The sequence below is a fragment of the Homo sapiens genome, chromosome 1, assembly GCF_000001405.40.
Source record: "Homo sapiens chromosome 1, GRCh38.p14 Primary Assembly".
Taxonomy (NCBI): domain Eukaryota; kingdom Metazoa; phylum Chordata; class Mammalia; order Primates; family Hominidae; genus Homo; species Homo sapiens.
The window spans coordinates 179,908,484-179,926,170 of NC_000001.11; the positions used below are offsets into that span (position 1 = coordinate 179,908,484).

General features: G+C 37.3%; 1 protein-coding gene across 2 annotated transcripts in view, besides 1 other annotated feature; it reads left to right on the forward strand.

The window, feature by feature from the left end:
- Nucleotides 1–11,593, forward strand: part of TOR1AIP1 (torsin 1A interacting protein 1) — a 37,792-nt gene extending 26,199 nt beyond the window's left edge. For both annotated transcript variants that reach the window (NM_001267578.2, NM_015602.4), the window contains exons 8-10: nt 122–190; nt 5,515–5,571; nt 8,969–11,593. In NM_001267578.2, coding sequence (NP_001254507.1) covers nt 122–190; nt 5,515–5,571; nt 8,969–9,756 — 914 coding nt within the window. In that variant the 3' untranslated portion in view covers nt 9,757–11,593. The remainder of the gene's footprint in view (nt 1–121; nt 191–5,514; nt 5,572–8,968) is intronic.
- Nucleotides 353–555: a silencer, noted in NCBI's record as "fragment chr1:179877971-179878173 (GRCh37/hg19 assembly coordinates)". NCBI's record gives its function as "represses an EF-1alpha promoter that drives an FKBP-Casp9 reporter gene in an ReSE screen in K562 erythroleukemia cells {active_cell/tissue: K562}" and the evidence as "EXISTENCE:reporter gene assay evidence [ECO:0000049][PMID:32094911]".

The window sequence follows — 17,687 nt, forward strand, 5'->3', positions numbered from 1 at the left end:
TTTATTGTTTTCTTCCCCTACTTTATTTTGTCTTTCTGATAGATTAATTTTATAACACTGGAATATGGTATAAACTTTCAAAGTATGGGAAATTATCTTTTGATATATGTATTTGCTTCAGGCTCAGGATATCAAAAAACTCCCCAGGAATGGGCCCCACAAACTGCAAGAATAAGGACCAGGATGCAAAGTAAGTAGATAAATCTCTGTTATTGAAATAATCTTGTGTATTTGCTATGTTTTTCTTGACAAAAATATTTAGTTCTTCAGATAAACATTTAGGTTGTTTGTGATTTCACTAATAAAGTACAGCTATGATTACTAGTTTAGTAATTTCTTGGACTGGCAGCACATGGGCTGGGTGTAGAATGTAAATAGTGGCGTGAGAAAACCAGAGATTGGCCAGGTGCGGTGGCTCACGCCTGTAATCCCAGCACTTTGGGAGGCCGAGGTGGGTGGATCACGAGGTCAGGAGATCGAGACCATCCTGGCTAACACGGTGAAACCTCGTCTCTACTAAAAATATTTAAAAAAGAAAAATTAGCTGGGCGTGGCGGCGGGAGGCTACTCGGGAGGCTGAAGCAGGAGAATGGTGTGAACCCAGGAGGCGGAGCTTGCAGTGAGCCAAGATTGCACCACTGCACTCCAGCCTGGGCGACAGAGCGAGACTCCATCTGAAAAAAAGAAAAAAAAAGAGAAAACCAGAGATTGATGGATTTTAACAAGCTGTCAGTTATAGCAGCAATACAGTCTGTATACAATAATGAAATTCTACTCTTTTGACAATACTTATTTTTTGCTTTTAGCAGATTTTGGAACAGCTTTGTATACTCATAATTTTACATAATAAAGGCTGAAATGCACAAGTTATATTTTCATGTTTAGGGTTTTTTTTCTGTTTTTTGTTTTGTTTTGTTTTGTTTTGTTTTGTTTTGTTTTGTTTTTGAGATGGAGTCTTGCTGTGTTGCCCAGGCTGGAGTACAGTGGTGCAACCTCAGTTCACTGCAACCTCTGCCTCCCGGGTTCAAGCAATTCTCCTGCCTCAGCCTCCCAAGTAGCCAGGACTACAGGCGCGTACCACCACACCCAGCTAATTTTTGTATTGTTACACGCCTGGCTAATTTTTATATTTTTAGTAGAGACAGGGTTTCACCATATTGGTCAGGCTGGTCTTGAACTCCTGACCTCATGATCTGCCTGCCTTGGCCTCCCTGAATGCTGGGATTACAGGCTTGAGCCACTGCGCCCAGCCTTTCTGGGTTTTTGGGGGTGTTTTGTTTTGTTTTGGGTTTTTTTTGAGATGAAGTCTCCCTCTGTCGCCCAGGTTGGAGTGCAGTGGCACAATCTCAGCTCACTGCAGCCTCCGCCTCCCACATTCAGGTCATTCTTGTGCCTTAGCCTCCTAAGTAGCTGGGACTTGCATGCATGCGCCACCATGCCCAGCTAATATTTGTACTTTTAGTAGAGACGGGGTTTCGCCATGTTGGCCAGGTTGGTCTTGAACTGCTGACCTCAAGTGATCCGCCTGCTTCAGCCTCCCAAAGTGTTGGGATTACAGGCATGAGCCACCACACCCAGCCTCATGTTTAGGTTTTGGATGGATTAAATGTCACAGAATTTAAGGAATACTATAAATTGATGTGATAAAACCATCGTACTTTGAACTCACTTTCTATAATTTCTATGGAAATGCGTCCACGTTAAATCTCGACCATATTTTTTTAAAGTCCATGCATATTCTCTGCCTTAAGTGACCTTTAACCTCCCTACTTTACTCATCTAACCACAATAGGTCTTGAGGTCATCAGGTATTCTCTTACTTTTATTTAGGTAATGTAAAAATCCACATCTTATATCTCTTGCTCATGGGATGATTAACTGTAATTGGACCAAATGACATGCGTGGCTCTGCTTTTCCATCAGTAAAGTAGGAGTGGTCATAATTCATTTTTTCTCAGCAGTGACGTTTTTAGCCCACATGTAAGTGAGTTCTTAAGCAGTCTAGAACCGAAATAACTTTTTGCCCTTGTCTTACTGTTGGTTGTCATTTCTTATTGCTGTGATTATGTGCCTGCTATTAGAAAACCATTTCCTCTTATAATTTGCTCTTCCTGACCTATTATAGTTAGGAAACCAAACATTAATTATTCAGCTTATTAGAATTATGTTTATAACCAGGATCAAACATTAAAATTAAATTTGAAGACCCAAGAGATACTCTTGGATGTAAAAATGCATGAGTTTTAGTGTATATAATGTGAAAAGCTCAGAGGCATCTTGTGTCATTTCTTAGTTCTTAACTGTACATTCTGAGTAATTAATATCAGATAAATGACTTCCAGATAAGTGAAGTTAGTACATACTTATCAGAAAATCTTTGCATAATTTTTTCCTCTAATAAGACACTGCAATAGAGAAGGAAACATAATTATATTGAACATCTAATAGAAATGCAGAAATAGATCTTTTTAGTTGCTAAATTGATAGCTAATTTTTAGTATTTTATCTGTTTGCATTTCTACTTTGTCTTAAGTTACTATGTTTATTATGGCTTACAGAATTATACATTGGTTGCTAACCACCTACCATATATAGATAACCACATTGAGCTTTCAGAGTTATGTAACAGTAACACACCAGAAGTGTGCATGTAATAGGATCTTTTAGACTTTCAACCACATGAGGACTTTAAGATAGAACGATGAGCAAGAAGAAAATATTTTCAATGGAAGTGGAAGACTACAGTGATTTTTCAAACACTGTTATATAATAGATTCCTCTTCAAGAATATTAAAAAAATGTTTTCCTAGCATTCCACATTTTATCTCTCATTCTTTAACTATATATTTCTGCCCGCTTTGGTGAGGAAAAAAAAGTCATTTTTAGAGCTGAGTGTTCAAGAACCTTAGGCTATAGATTCTACCCCATGGAACATTGTCACCCGACGTTAGCAACAGTTTCCTGTAGACAGGTCCCAGTTCAGGCTTCTGCCTGCATCCAAACCTTTTAGGAAAGATGGAACCACTGTCTTTACTTTTTCCTGTTTGCCAGGTGATAAAACAATGATTATAGAGAAGAATATATGTGCATGGAGAGGTCAGAGAACTAATATAAATGTTTTGGAACCTGTCTCAGAAATTTAGATAGAGAAAAGAAGACAATTTGGAGTTAAAGCTCTTGAGCTCCAGTCCTAGCTCTTCCACTTACTAATTGAGTAATCTTGGTAAAATCACTTAACCTTTGTGAACCTCAATTTTCTTGCCTTTAGAGACAGTAGTGCCTATAACTAGATTATTGTAATGAGCTTATATGTGTAAACACAATTTTTTAAAGTCTAAAATCTCATAATTATCAGGGCTTATTTATTGTTAATGTTTTCTGTAGAATCAATAGCAACTATGGAGGATTTGTGCCCTCTACTCTTGATGGTTGTAGAGTGATTGATTATCACCATACTCTTTAGACTAGAAAAGCTTGAGTTTTTTCTTTTTCTTTTTTTCTTTTTTTTTTTCTTTTTTCTTTTTTTTCTTTTTTTTTTCTTTTTTCTTTTTTCTTTTTTTTGAAACGGTCTTGCTCTGTTGCCTAGGCTGGAGTGCAGTGGCGTGATCTCAGCTCACTGCAACCTCTGCCTCCTGGGTTCAAGCGATTCTCATTCATGCCTCAGCTTCCCAAGTAGCTGGTGGTGCACCAATACACCCAGCTAATTTTTGTATTTTAGTAGAGACAGGGTTTCACCATGTTGGCCAGGCTGGTCTCAAACTCCTGACCTCAGGTGATCCACCCACCTCGACCTCCCAAAGTGTTGGGATTACAGGCTTGAGCCACTGCGCCCAGCTGAGTTTTTTCTTTTAAAAAGATGTTTTTTAGAATTGTTGTTAGCATCTCTAGTAATGTTGATAAAAAGGATAGCAGTTATACTTTGGACAATGTCCTGCCTTGGCAGTATATACCCTGCTGTGTATGTGTTTGTGTTATATGAATTATATAAATATTATATATGGTACATAATTATTATTTAGCTGTCCTTCATCATTAACATCATAGAATTGCACTTCACAGCATTTTTGTATATATTATCTCATTTGATCTTTGCAACCATGGAGTGAAGTATTCAAAATAAACATTATCTGATGGATTTGGGTTTCATGTGGTTAGGTATTTTTATTGTTATTTTAGTTGTAACTTCGATAACCTAACTTAGAAGCTTCTAAATAATGAAATATCCTAAGCTAAACTAGTAATTGAAAAACAGTATTCCTCTTACAGTTGCTGTCATTTTGTCTTACTACATCATTATGGAGTTTTTTGTCATATGATCAAAAATAAGGCTATTTCTGAATCTTAGCAGGGCTAATATTATTCCTCCAGTTATTCCAGTGTTTCTCAAATGAAAGTTGTTGATATAACGCTAAGAAGATCCACCAGGAAGTTCATTTATATATACAAAAGTTATAAAACTCCAGGCAAGTGATAGACGGCAATACTGGTAATATAGGTCATACAAATGAGATAACTCAGCCTCTCCACCTTCTGAAGCCTGTCCTTCCATTTCCTCTCTTAGATTTTAAAACCTGCTGGTATGCTAAGAAAGATGGAAGGGAAAGGGAAGGGTTAGGATCATTTTTAATTTCTTTTCTTGTTTTTAATTTTTTTTTTTTTTTTTAGAGATGGGGTCTCACAATGTTGCCCAGGCTGGCCTTAAACTCCTGTGCTCAAGCTGTCCTGTCACCTCAGCCTCTTGATTTGTCGGAATTACAGGCATGAACCACTGTGCCCGGCTTAATTTATTTTCTAAATAGATTTAGATGAAAGTAGAAATTTGACAGAGTTGAGAGAAAATTATTTTTGAGCTCTATTGTTTAACCACAAGCCTAAAACAGAATTACTTTATTACTTGTCTATTAACAGAAATGATGAGAAGTTTTTAAATGTGATTTTAAAATACTACTAGTATTTGAAATGGTCAGAATCCCCAGAGGAAATACTGAATCAGTTTGAGGTAGAAAATAGTGAGGATTAAGATTTTTATATTAAAACACCTTATCCAGACAGCTCAGTAGTCTGTAATCCACATTTTGTCCTTATTTTCCCCCTCTTTACAGCATCTTCACCAGGCAAGAGTTCAATATATGGCAGTTTTTCAGATGGTATAATATGTTTCATTTTATTATGGTGTGCTTAGTTTCTTTGTCCTTTTTATCCCGGAAGTTTCACCAATCCCATTAGATACTTAATGGGTCAAATACTTCCAAACTTTCTCTCAAAACTAATTATTGTGTGCTTTGTACTAGACCCCACCATATGCTGTGAAAAGCTATGAAAGAAATAGGTCATGTGTTTCAAGGAGCTCTCAGTCTAATCGGCACTCAGATATTCTACTTTTTCTTCTGCTTCTGGCTGATCTCTGTCTTCTTTTTTTCCTGGTGGAATTTGTATCTTCTTTGTCTACTAGAAATAAATACTCAAATTATGAAGCATAAGTTGATAGTCTTATTTTATTACTCTCACCATTAGATGACAGCATTCTGAAATCAGAGCTTGGAAACCAGTCACCATCAACCTCCAGCCGACGTAAGTTTATGTATTCAGTTTTTATTAAATATTTCTGTAAAATTGGTATTCCATAATTGTTTAAAAATGTTTTTTGACAGCAGTATGACTCGATGCTATTTGAAGAATCACATTTTAAGCACTTGAGAGGAAAAAGTATATATTCTACTAGCAGTGAAATTCTTTATAGACAAACTTTATGAGACAACATCTGGTATTGCTCTTCACTTAACTGTCTATAAGACCAAAAATAATAGCTAAAATAAGTAAAGCTACTAATACTGTTAACTGAGAAAACCATGCTGAATTGAAAGAAAGTTAGCCAGAGCATGACTTTATGGGATTACAATGGCTTTCGGAGTCTGCAAACCTGTATTTGAACTAGATTGGACCACTTACCTCCTTTACAGCCTTGTGGCAAGTTTCTTTAGTTCTCCAAGTCTTATTGTCCTGAAAGAGTACTAAGAAAATAACTTAATGGGCTGAGCGTGGTGGCTCATGCCTGTAATCTCAGCACTTTGGGAGGCCAAGGCAGGCGGATCATGAGATCAAGAGATCGAAACCATCCTGGCCAACATGGTGAAACCCCATCTCTACTAAAAATACAAAAATTAGCTGGGCGTGGTGGCACACGCCTGTTGTCCCACCTACTCAGGAGGCTGAGGCAGGAGAATCACTTGAACCCAGGAAGCGGAGGTTGCAGTGAGCCGAGATTGTGCCACTGCACTCCAGCCTGGCAACAGAGCGAGACTCTGTCTCAAAAAAAAAAAAAAAAGAAAATAGATTAATGATGATTCTGAAATTTTTTGTTCTTGGTACCGCTTTACACTAGTAAAGTTATTAAGAACCTCAAAGAGCTTTTTGTTGAAAATATGGGTTATGTCTATCCATATGTACCAGGAAATTAAAGTTGAAACATTTTTTAAAATATGTATTAATTTATTTTAAAATAATTTAGCAAGAAGAGTAACAGATCAGATTGCTTTGCATTTTTTCTAATCTCTTTAATGCCTAGCTTTAAAAAATGGATTTGGATTATCATATATGCTTCTGTATGCAGTCTGTTACAATATATTATTTTTGTTGAAGTATCTACAAAAAATCCAGCTTTTATACAGATATGAAAAATTTTAATAGCCTCTTCAGATAATTGTGGCTATTCTTTTTTGAACTCTCCAAAACTCAACAAGTGGTAGTTTCTTAAATGTTACTTGAAATAGGATATCTAAAACCATCTTACTGAGCTTTTAGTACTCTATTACATTAAAAGTCATTGGTCTTTCTTATACTTTGAATGGAGTATCATGCACTGGTCATTTGGAAAACATTGGTTCACTGAGGAATGCAGATTTTCCAAACATTGACACATTAGGAATGTAATAAAAAATATCACATTTGTTAACATCACTGCCAATCTCAAGACTTTAAAAAAGTGTTAAAGGGTGGGGTTCGTGGCCCATGCCTGTAATCCCAACATTTTGGGAGGCCCAGGCGGATGGATCACCTGAGGTCAGGAGTTCAAGACCAGCCTGGCCAACATGGCAAAACCCTGTCTCTACTAGAAATACAAAAACATTAGCTGGGAATGGTGGCACGCACCTGTAATCCCAGCTACTTAGGAGGCTGAGGCAGGAGAATCACTTGAACCTGGGAGGCAGAGGTTGCAGTGAGCCAAGATCGCACCACTTCATGTCATCCTGGGCCACAGAGCGAGACTCCATCTCAGAAAAAAAAAAGAAAGTGTTAAAGTACAATATTGGGAGTTGTCAAGCTCATGGTGGCAGATTTAGGATTCTAAAATCCTAATTTTCACTTGAAAGCAAATATCTGCCAAATACACAAGTCTGACTGTAGTTTGTTACTTGTTCTTTCAAGTAAAAAATAGTATTCCATGAAAAATGTGCTAATTCGCCTTGTAATTCATTTGCACAAAATTCTTTTCCTTGAGACAACCATGGTACTGTATGATGCAGCAGAAGTGCTTTGTGCATACCTTCCATTTGTTCAGAAAGAATATTGACATATGTACTCAAGGATTCAGATTTAATAAGATAAATAATTAACTGCTTCATAAAGGACATTCTTAAGTAAAAGAATGTCCCTTTGTTAAATCTTGAATGCATGGCAGTGAAAAATAACAATGACTACACTCGTACAGTTTGGTGCCACTGCCCTGTAACTCATGCTAAGGCATCAGAAGTTTTTCTCACCATAGCTTTTGCGTCATCAGTGCAAATGTCAACACAAGGTGAAAGTCAAATAACATCTTAGTGTTAGAAGAATAGCTTTAACTTCATGGACCCCCCTCCCCACAAAATAGGGTCTTGAGGTACCCCACAGACCACGCCTTGAGAATTGCTGCTCTAAAAGGTCCCTACTAAAATTAATAGCCTGAAACAGTCAATAAGTAAAAGATGTAAAAGTATTATTGTTACTATCAACTGAATAAATGAAGTAGAATATGAGAAAGTACTTTATAAACCGAAAAGCACTAGATAAATATAAATTAATCCTATTATTATTGCCAATAGTAACTAGGGATGAGTCACAAACTAAATTTTACCAGTGTTAACTTGCATACCACAAAAGGCATCAGTGAAATTAATCTAAAGGGACAGCTAGCTATTATAACACGTAGAAGATGTTCATTTATATTGCATCCTTTTCTTTTTTTTTTTTTTTTTTTTTGAGATGGAATCTCTCTCTGTCACCCAGGCTGGAGTGCAGTGGCGTGATCTCGGCTCACTGCAACCTCCGCCTCCCGTGTTCAAGTGATTCTCCTGCCTCAGCCTCCCAAGTAGCTGGACTACAGGTGTGTGCCACCACACCCAGCTAGTTTTTTGTATTTTCAGTAGAGACGGGGTTTCACAGTCTCGATCTCCTGACCTCGTGATCCTCCCTCCTCGGCCTCCCAAAGTGCTGGGACTACAGGCATGAGCCACCACTTCCAGCCTGCATCCTTTTCTTTATCCCTTTATGTACTTCAGAAATATTTCACCTTGAATAATTAGCCATGTGAATGCTGAGTTACTAAATTAAAAAAATATTTTATAAATTGTATTTTAATAGTCTATTCTCCCAACTATTAGCAGTGAAAATAATAACTTCGCTTTATAAACTATTATTTTTCTGACTTGTTTATGCCATTTCATATGTTTAAAAACTTTTTTCCTCAAAGACTTATTTTTATATTGAAGAGACATATGCATATTTGTACACATAATTCAAAGCCTATGCATGTAAGATTTTCTTGAGAATGTGATAAATTATTTTATTAAGAAAATTATCAGCTTTCTTCTTTAAAGTCCTTCCTCTTTTACCTAATGTTTATAAAGACTGATATTGATTTTAAAAGTCACTTGCCCCTGAATCTAAGAAAGTGGTATTTATATCTGTCATTTCTTTTTTGTCTGAGTAGAAGTGACTGGACAACCCCAAAATGCATCTTTTGTCAAGAGGAACCGGTGGTGGCTACTTCCTCTGATAGCTGCTCTTGCCTCTGGGAGTTTTTGGTTCTTTAGTACTCCTGAGGTAGAAACCACTGCTGTTCAAGAGTTCCAGAACCAGATGAATCAACTTAAGAATAAGTACCAAGGTCAAGATGAGAAGCTGTGGAAAAGGAGCCAAACATTCCTGGAAAAACATCTTAATAGCTCCCATCCTCGGTCTCAGCCTGCTATCTTACTGCTCACTGCTGCCCGAGATGCTGAAGAAGCACTTAGGTGTCTGAGTGAACAAATTGCTGATGCCTATTCTTCTTTTCGTAGTGTCCGTGCCATCCGGATTGATGGGACAGATAAAGCTACTCAAGACAGTGATACTGTCAAACTAGAGGTAGACCAAGAACTGAGCAATGGATTTAAGAATGGCCAGAATGCAGCTGTGGTACACCGCTTTGAGTCATTTCCCGCAGGCTCTACTTTGATCTTCTACAAATATTGTGACCATGAAAACGCGGCCTTCAAAGATGTAGCCTTAGTCCTGACTGTCTTATTGGAGGAAGAGACACTTGGAACAAGTCTAGGCCTAAAGGAAGTTGAAGAAAAAGTAAGAGATTTTCTTAAAGTCAAGTTCACCAATTCTAACACACCCAACTCCTACAATCATATGGACCCAGACAAACTGAATGGCCTCTGGAGCCGTATTTCTCACTTAGTTCTGCCTGTGCAACCTGAAAATGCCCTGAAAAGGGGCATCTGCTTATAAGAAGTGAGAGAGAAGAAAAATCATGTCCCAAGTTCTGAGAATTGTTCACACTTTCTAACCAGAGACAGAATTCAGAGCTCTTTTTGAAAGAACTAGTTTCTTTTTAAAGAAGTTAAGTGCTTACATAAACATGGAACATATAAATCATTCATTCAACCTAATTATCTGTGATATGAGAGAATCATTTCAGTTTCCATTGAGAGCTCTGTTAAAGGTATCTTAGGAGTGCAGATTATATGCAGTTCCTTAGAGAATCTGTTTTGATTCTGGGCTGAGTTATTACAGTTATGGTATGACCAGTGAGAGGGATTTGTGTCCTTTCTTATGAACCTTCCTGATTTTTTAACTTAGATTTCTCACTAAGTTTCCTGAGTTATTAGTAAGATTGCTCCCTAAATGTAACCAGGGATTTTCCCATTATGTTCCCTTTTATACCATTTAGGTGTGAGTTCCTTAGCTTCTGCCTATAGGAACATAAGTAATGAAAGGTCATCTAGGTGTGTGTTTGGAATTTTTTTCTTTTGTTTTTTGGAAAATGGAAAGAACAAGGCAAGGAAGGAAAATTAATGGGGAAGCTGAAGGGAGGAAATGTTACAGTAATCCACTGAGATGTAGTTTAGTCAAACATAGGTATATGAACTGTTAATCTTGGTGGATTCCGTTGGGATTTGTTTTTTACATCTCCTTTTTCCTTCCTTGAAGAAAAATTCTTGGCTGTCCCAAGGATTCTTCATGTATATTGCAAAATTTAATATATTTGTTCACTTGAGTCTTAAGAGTAGGTCAGGCCAAGGCAGGTGGATCACCTGAGGTCAGAAGTTCAAGACCAGCCTGGCCAACATGGTGAAACCCCGTCTCTACTAAAAATACAAAAATTAGCTGGGCGTGGTGGTGCATGCCTGAAATCCCAGCTACTTGGGAGGCTGAGGCAGGAGAATTGCTTGAACCCGGGAGGCGGAGGTTGCAGTAAGCCGAGACCATGCTTATTGCCCTCCAGTCTGGGCAACAAAAATGAAACTCCGTCTCAAAAAAAAAAAAGTAGGTCAATTCGTAACAGTTTATTTTGGACACACCCTGAAGCTTTTGTTTTGAATTAAGAAATGAGTTTCAGGAATTGACAAACCATTTGTTAACCAGCTGTCCTGGGCTATTGAAGAAGATTTCATTTTCCGCGCATCCACTTGTTGCAGTCCAAGTCCTCTAGTGCAACGCCATAGCAAATATAAAGATTTACTATGCACGTGATACATTTTATGGAGTGCCTCAAGCCAAGATAGTGAATTTATATGAAGGGTGTGAAATGTATTTCTTTACTACTATAGTAGTTTAGTTATAACTTTGCATCTATAATTGAGCTTTCTCATCTGTCAAATGCTATGGTTTTCTTAAAATGTTACAATTCTAGATCTATCCACCTTGTTTTTTTATTGTCTACAAACCATTAAATGTAAATATTGTTTTTAGAGTCAGTCATTGGCTTTGTCATTTACCCTTTGAGAGTTCCACAAGTGGTAGTAGAGTGGTTTAACGTCTTTCCTCTAGTACTACCAGTATTCATAAATGTATACCCCTTACTGTAATTTGTTCCTCTTAGAAGTCAGATCATCTGATTTATAGAGGATTATGAAAACCAGAGTTTTTGAAAAGGCTTATTTTATACATACGTATTATATAGAGAAACAAATGTTTTTATTAAATGTTTCATTGACCCAAGTAATTTAAAAGTAATATGTTACCTATGTCTTTCAGGAAAAATAATTATAGCAGCTGATCTGTAAATGACTTTAAAAGCTATTTTAGTAATTTAAATAAATTTACTTTCTTGGTTTATACTCTCTATGTGTTATAAACTTAATGATTTATCATCTTTAAAAAAAGAAATCCAAGTATTTTCCTTGAACAATTGTAGCAACTCTGGCTAGGAGAAACAAAAATCAAAGAACTGGAGCCATTTGCAAGTACATTGGTTAGAAGTGGAATAGCCGTAACTTTCCATTTTATCTCGGCACTTAGGGTTTTTAAAAATACAGTTAAGTTAGATATTCCTGACTTAGCAAAAGAATCTCCACAGCAGCTTTTCTTTTTTTTTTTTTTAAGTAGACATGGGATCTCGCTATATTGCCCAGGCTGTTTTTGAACTCTTGGCCTCAAGCAGTCCTCCTGCCTAAGCCTCCTAAGTAGCTGGGATTACAGGCATAAGTCACTACACCTGGCTTCTTAACCTTTTCTTTATCACCTCCCTGAAGAACTTTTTTAGATTTTTTTCTTAGTCACCCCTTCCCCATGATATTTCAACACCAGATATATACTATGTATCTGTTTATGGACTGTAAATGTTTTTTGCTTTATACAAAATAGAATTTTTTTTTGTCCCCAATGAACCAATTTTCACCCCCATTGAGAATGCATGCTCAAGAGCATCCACGTTTTAGATAATTGCTGCCTAAAATGTTCTATTTGCTATTCATGTTACTGTGATCCTTTTAGAAGGGAAAATTTATTTTTTATTTTTTTTATTTTTTATTTTTTTTATTTTTGAGACAATCTCACTCTTGCCCAGGCTGGAGTGCAGTGGCGCAATCTCGGCTCACTGCAACCTCCGCCTCCCATGTTCAAGTGATTCTTCTGCCTCAGCCTCCCGAGTAGCTGGGATTACAGGTTCACACCACCATGCCCGGCTAATTTTTTGTATTTTTAGTAGAGACGGAGTTTCACCATGTTGGCCAGGCTGGTCTTGAACTCCTGACCTCAGGTGATCCACCTGCCTTGGCCTCCCAAAGTGCTGGGATTACAGGCATGAGCCGCGGAGCCTGGCCTAGAAAGGAAAATTTAAGTAAGATACCAGCTTCAGAATAGGAGCTAGGGTCTAGAGAAATGGAGCACATTGTAACTGGCTGACAACAGTGGCCCAGGAAAACCACAGTAACTTAATTTGAAACTTAATTTGCTTCCCTTGTTTTAATGACTTTTTAATATTTAAAGATGTTTTCTAAACCTCTAATCCTCAAAACAAAAATTGGAAGTAAACTGATTTTCATTCAGTGAACTGCCATTTAGAAGTGATAGGGGTTTACATACTTTGTACCATTAGTTAACGCCTAAGCTAAAAGTATAATATCCAGTTTCCCTATGATCTCAAGTTTATGGAAAGTAGCCTTTCTTTTGGCAGTGTAAACAAGCAGTTACATTAAATACGTAAAGATAATGCATTATTCTGCTATTTTGTCCTTATCAAGATCATGTAGTAAAATTTTGTGGTATAAGAGGATAGTGTTTTTCCCTAAGGAAGAGGATTTTATTGGCATTAACCACCAAAGATGGGGTTCCTGAGCCTGGAAAACCAAGCTGAGAAGGCTGCCATTGACTGGAAAAGGAGGAAATTCCTCCCTTGAATGCCCTCTTTCTGGCCTGGATTCTGAGAATTCCTTGTGTGTTTAAGGACCCTTGTGGGTGGTAGAGAAACTAGTTCCTGTCACCTGAGCATAAACAGAAGAACCCCTTTGTACTCTACACCCCAGACATAATGAACTACTTGCAATTTCCTAAACACATCATTCACTTGTCTTTTGCACATTCTTAGACTCTTGGAATACTTCATTTCCTGCCCTCTCGCTTTCTCCAATCTCATGTTCTGCTAATTTTTATTTGTCCTTAAAGTCTTCGTTTTCTTAGGGCAGCACTTCAGTGAAATCTTTCATAATTCCCTTCCCCCAGATACTATTTTAGGTGCCTCCTGTTTTTTTTCTTTCTTTCTTTCTTTCTTTCTTTTTTCTTTTTCTTTTTTTGGTAGCTTAAACAATAAGACCTTTATTGTTACAAAACCCAGCAGCGTGAGGAGTTCCTGGGTTGGGTGAATTAGAGGCTGGAAAAATTCATCGCAAGCATTACAAGATAACCAATGATACCCCTGATGAAAGAAAACCTCTGCAAACTGCTAGCTGAAGCCAGCTCCTGTCCTTTTATCCAAAACTGGGTAGTGTCCAGCCAAACCATTTTGGGGGTTGAATGAGTCACTTCAAAGGGCTCAAATGACTGGTGAATCTTCCAGATAAAAGGAGAGAACACAGACTTTCCTGCGCATTTTAAAGTGACTGAGGTGCTCCACACTCTGATTTATCCTTTATTACCCTGTGGCAGCATTAGCATACCCCTGCTACCACATGCATCTTGCAAGCAGTGATGTGTCATCAATATATGCACCGTGGCAATCACAGAATGCTCAAATATTTATTGAATAAAAAGAGCAAGCCATACCTAATTATAGCTAGGTAAGTTGCATCTTAGTGTTTTATTTGCTTTCCCCACCCCCATCCCCCATTACGCCTAAGCCCTATCTAAAAGTTGTATATAACTCATCTGGGTTTAGCAATGCTATGAATAAGGAAAAACAAAGAGGACCAATCTACGCCGTGGAAGGGAAATGCACTTCTCTGATAGAGACAGTGATCATTACAGGTCCTCAAGGGAAAGGTGGAATATCAAGGGAAAAGACTGGGAAGCTGTGAGGTCTTTCCACAGTGATATTTGGCATTTGCATTTTCTAAAAATAGCTAGCAAGTATTCTTCCATCTTTTTCTGTTGCCTAAGAGGGTATTATAATTCAGATAAAAGATGGCTATGGATGTACGAACAAGATGGATAAGAAAAATATTCGAGAATTAGAACTGACCAGATTTGATTGACTGTAGAAGTGCTGAAAATTTCTCTTTCTTCTGTTTAGCTCATATATCTTCTCCCCAGATACTAAGCATAAAGTGATAGACTAAATTCCTATCTCTGCATGTCAATATGTTGACTTTTAGTTTGAAGTAGAGCCACACATATTTGGTCAGAAATTGATTGTAGAGAATAAAAACCCTGTCCAACCAGGAAATGAGCAAAAGAGGGCTGGGGTGAAGATTGCAAGAATATACATCTCAGACTCCAGGAAAAGGAAAATACAGGAACTGTGAAGACTGTTTTCATTTGGAGACCAGCAGCCATTCCCTCTGTCTCTCTATTGCTGCTACCCAATTAGCAACTTCCCCTTTGTGACTTAAATGCCAAAAAGATGACATTAATGGCTCAATTCAGTGTATGAAGGATTCCTGAGAAGAATATATGATAAAGCATAGCTTCCTAGGTCACCCTTTTAACAGGGACCAGGAGTTTGGGTTGTGGTAGGGCTGTGTCCTGAGGTCAGGCCAAGAAGTGGGCTGATATGTTAAAGGACAACTGAATACTTCTTCAACTATATAAAGACCTTCTATATGTAATGCCATGCTATGTCATTAATGGCATTTCATTTTAGCTTTTTAAAAAACCCAACGAAGGGAAATTCAAGGTAATGGAAACATTTTAAGTTTTAAAATCTGAGTCCTGGTCATGGGTCTACTACAAATGTGATTTCTTCCCATTGCTTCTGTTTCTCTAGGCTAAACCAGGAAGATAGTTGTCAAAACTTCGGGTACTATTTTAACATACATCAGCACTTGTTAATTTGCTGTAATTCCCTCAATAGAACACCAAGCTTTAGTTTTCAGTATGTTTCTTGGGCAAGTGAGGTGGTAGGTGGCCATGTACTAGATCAAACTTGATTTTCTAGGGATTGTTTTCCCACTTTTAGAGAATACCATTCTTAGGCTAAACTCAATTACAGAATCTACTGCATGCTATACAGCCCTCTATAGAAATATTCACCCTGAGTAGTTAATTATGTTTCTTAATGGGTAAATGTTTTATCTAGTCCCTCTTTTTTTTTAATTTGATAAAATCCAGATCTCTCAGAGCTTAAATACACTTCCTCTTATTTTCCCTACAACAAATATGGAAAAGATCTATAATATATATTTGAATATGTATTAAGTTGTTCCTCACCCTTTTCTATTTTTTATTAGCTATTGAGTGTTTATTAATGCTTCAAACACTTCCAAGTGCTTTATGTATATTAACTGATTTAATTCTTAAGTTACTCTATGAGATGGTATTATTATCCCAACTTAATAGGAAACTGAAGCACAGTGAGCTAAAGTAACTCTCGAAGTGGTGGAGCAGAGAGATGAACCCAGGCAGTCTGACTTTAGAACATCTATGCTTACCACTATGATGTTCTCAAGGACCCCATTCTGAATATAGGAATAAACAAATTCAGTTTCTCCCACTTTAATCTCACAACACCCTTCTGACTCCAGATGTGTGTGGAGGGGGGTTCCCCACGCATTAAGCAAATAAGCAATTTTGCAGCAGACACCAGCTGGGTGTCCTCTAATTCAATTCACTTCTTACACTACCTGGAGATAGCATCAGATACCATAGGTTGAAGGCTCAGTGCCACAAGATGGCTCCCACTTCAGATGACAATCAGAAGCCCCAGATGGTGACCAAGGGTCCTAACCAACTAGCTATAAGTTAGGGTTCCCATAACCCCTTCTTGAGCTCCATTAGTTTGCTAGAGAGGCTCACAGAACTCGGAAACACTATACAGTCATGCTGTACATAATGACATTTCAATGTCAGCCTGCATAGACAATGGTGATCCCATAAGATTATAATACTGTATTTTTACTGTACCTTTTCTATGTTTAGGTATGTTTAGATAGACAAATAGTCAATCCTTGAACAACTTGGGTTTGAACTGTGTGGGTCCATTTATACATGGATTTTTTTTCAATAAATGTATTGGAAAATTTTTTGGAGATTTGCAACAATTTGAAAAACCAGATGAACCTCATAGACTAGAAATATCAAAAAAAATAAAGGTATGTGAAGAGTACATAAAATACATGTAGATACTAGTCTATCATTTACTACCATACATAAATCTATTTAAAAAAGTTAAAATTTATCAAAACCTATACACACAAACACACACCATACATTGTACCATTTGCAGTCTAGATAAATATTTAAAAATCTAAAAATGCACTGTTAAACCGTAACTGATGAAAAATTAGCTAGTGGGTACAATGTGTGCTCTTCAGGTGATGGCTATACTAAAAGTCCAGATTTCACCAGGATACAATTCTTCCATGTAACAAAAAACCACTTGTACCACTAAAGCTATGGAAAGAACAAAAATTGTCTAATTAACTAATTAAAACAAACAACTGCGTAAAATTAACTGTAGTACCTACTGTTCCACTGAAATAAGTTTGTAACCACCTCCTGTTGCTATTACAGCAGAACTCAAGGGTTGAGAGTATCCACATAAAACACCCTGTGAGCTAATCATCTCCACACAAGCAGTTCTTGGCTCTAGTAAATTGCGTATTGCAGTAAAAAGTGATCTCTCACACTTCTCGCGTTTTTCATCATGTTTAATGCAATACCCTAAACCTTGAATAACACCATGAGCCCCATACAAAGTGCCACCAGTGATGCTAGAAATGCTCCCAAGAAGCAGAGAAAAAAATGACACTACGAGAAAAAGTTGAATTGCTTGATAAGTACTTTGATTGAGGTCTGTAGCTGCAGTTGCCTGCCATTTCAGACAGCTGACTCATTTTGGAAATGGAGGGGCATTTAACTAACCCTAAATTTACAGTATTGATAATTACAGTACAGTACGGTAAATATGTTTTCCTTAGGATTTTCTTAATATTTTACTTTCTCTAGCTTTATTATAAGAAGACAGTATATAATAAATGTGTTAATCAACTGTTTATGTTACTGGTAAGTCTTCCAGTTAGCAGGAGGCTATTAGTAAAGTTTTGGGGAAGTCAAAAGTTATACATGGATTTTTGACTGTGTGGGTGTCAAACCCCTAATCCTCTAGTTGTTCCATTGTTAACTGCACTTGCCATTGTGTTACAATTCCCTACAGTATTCAGTACAGGAACATGCTGTACAGGCTTGCAGCCTAGACAACAGGATATACCATATAGCCTATGTGTGTAGTAGGCTATACCCTCTAGCTATGTGGAAGGACACTCTTAAGATGTTTGCACAATAAC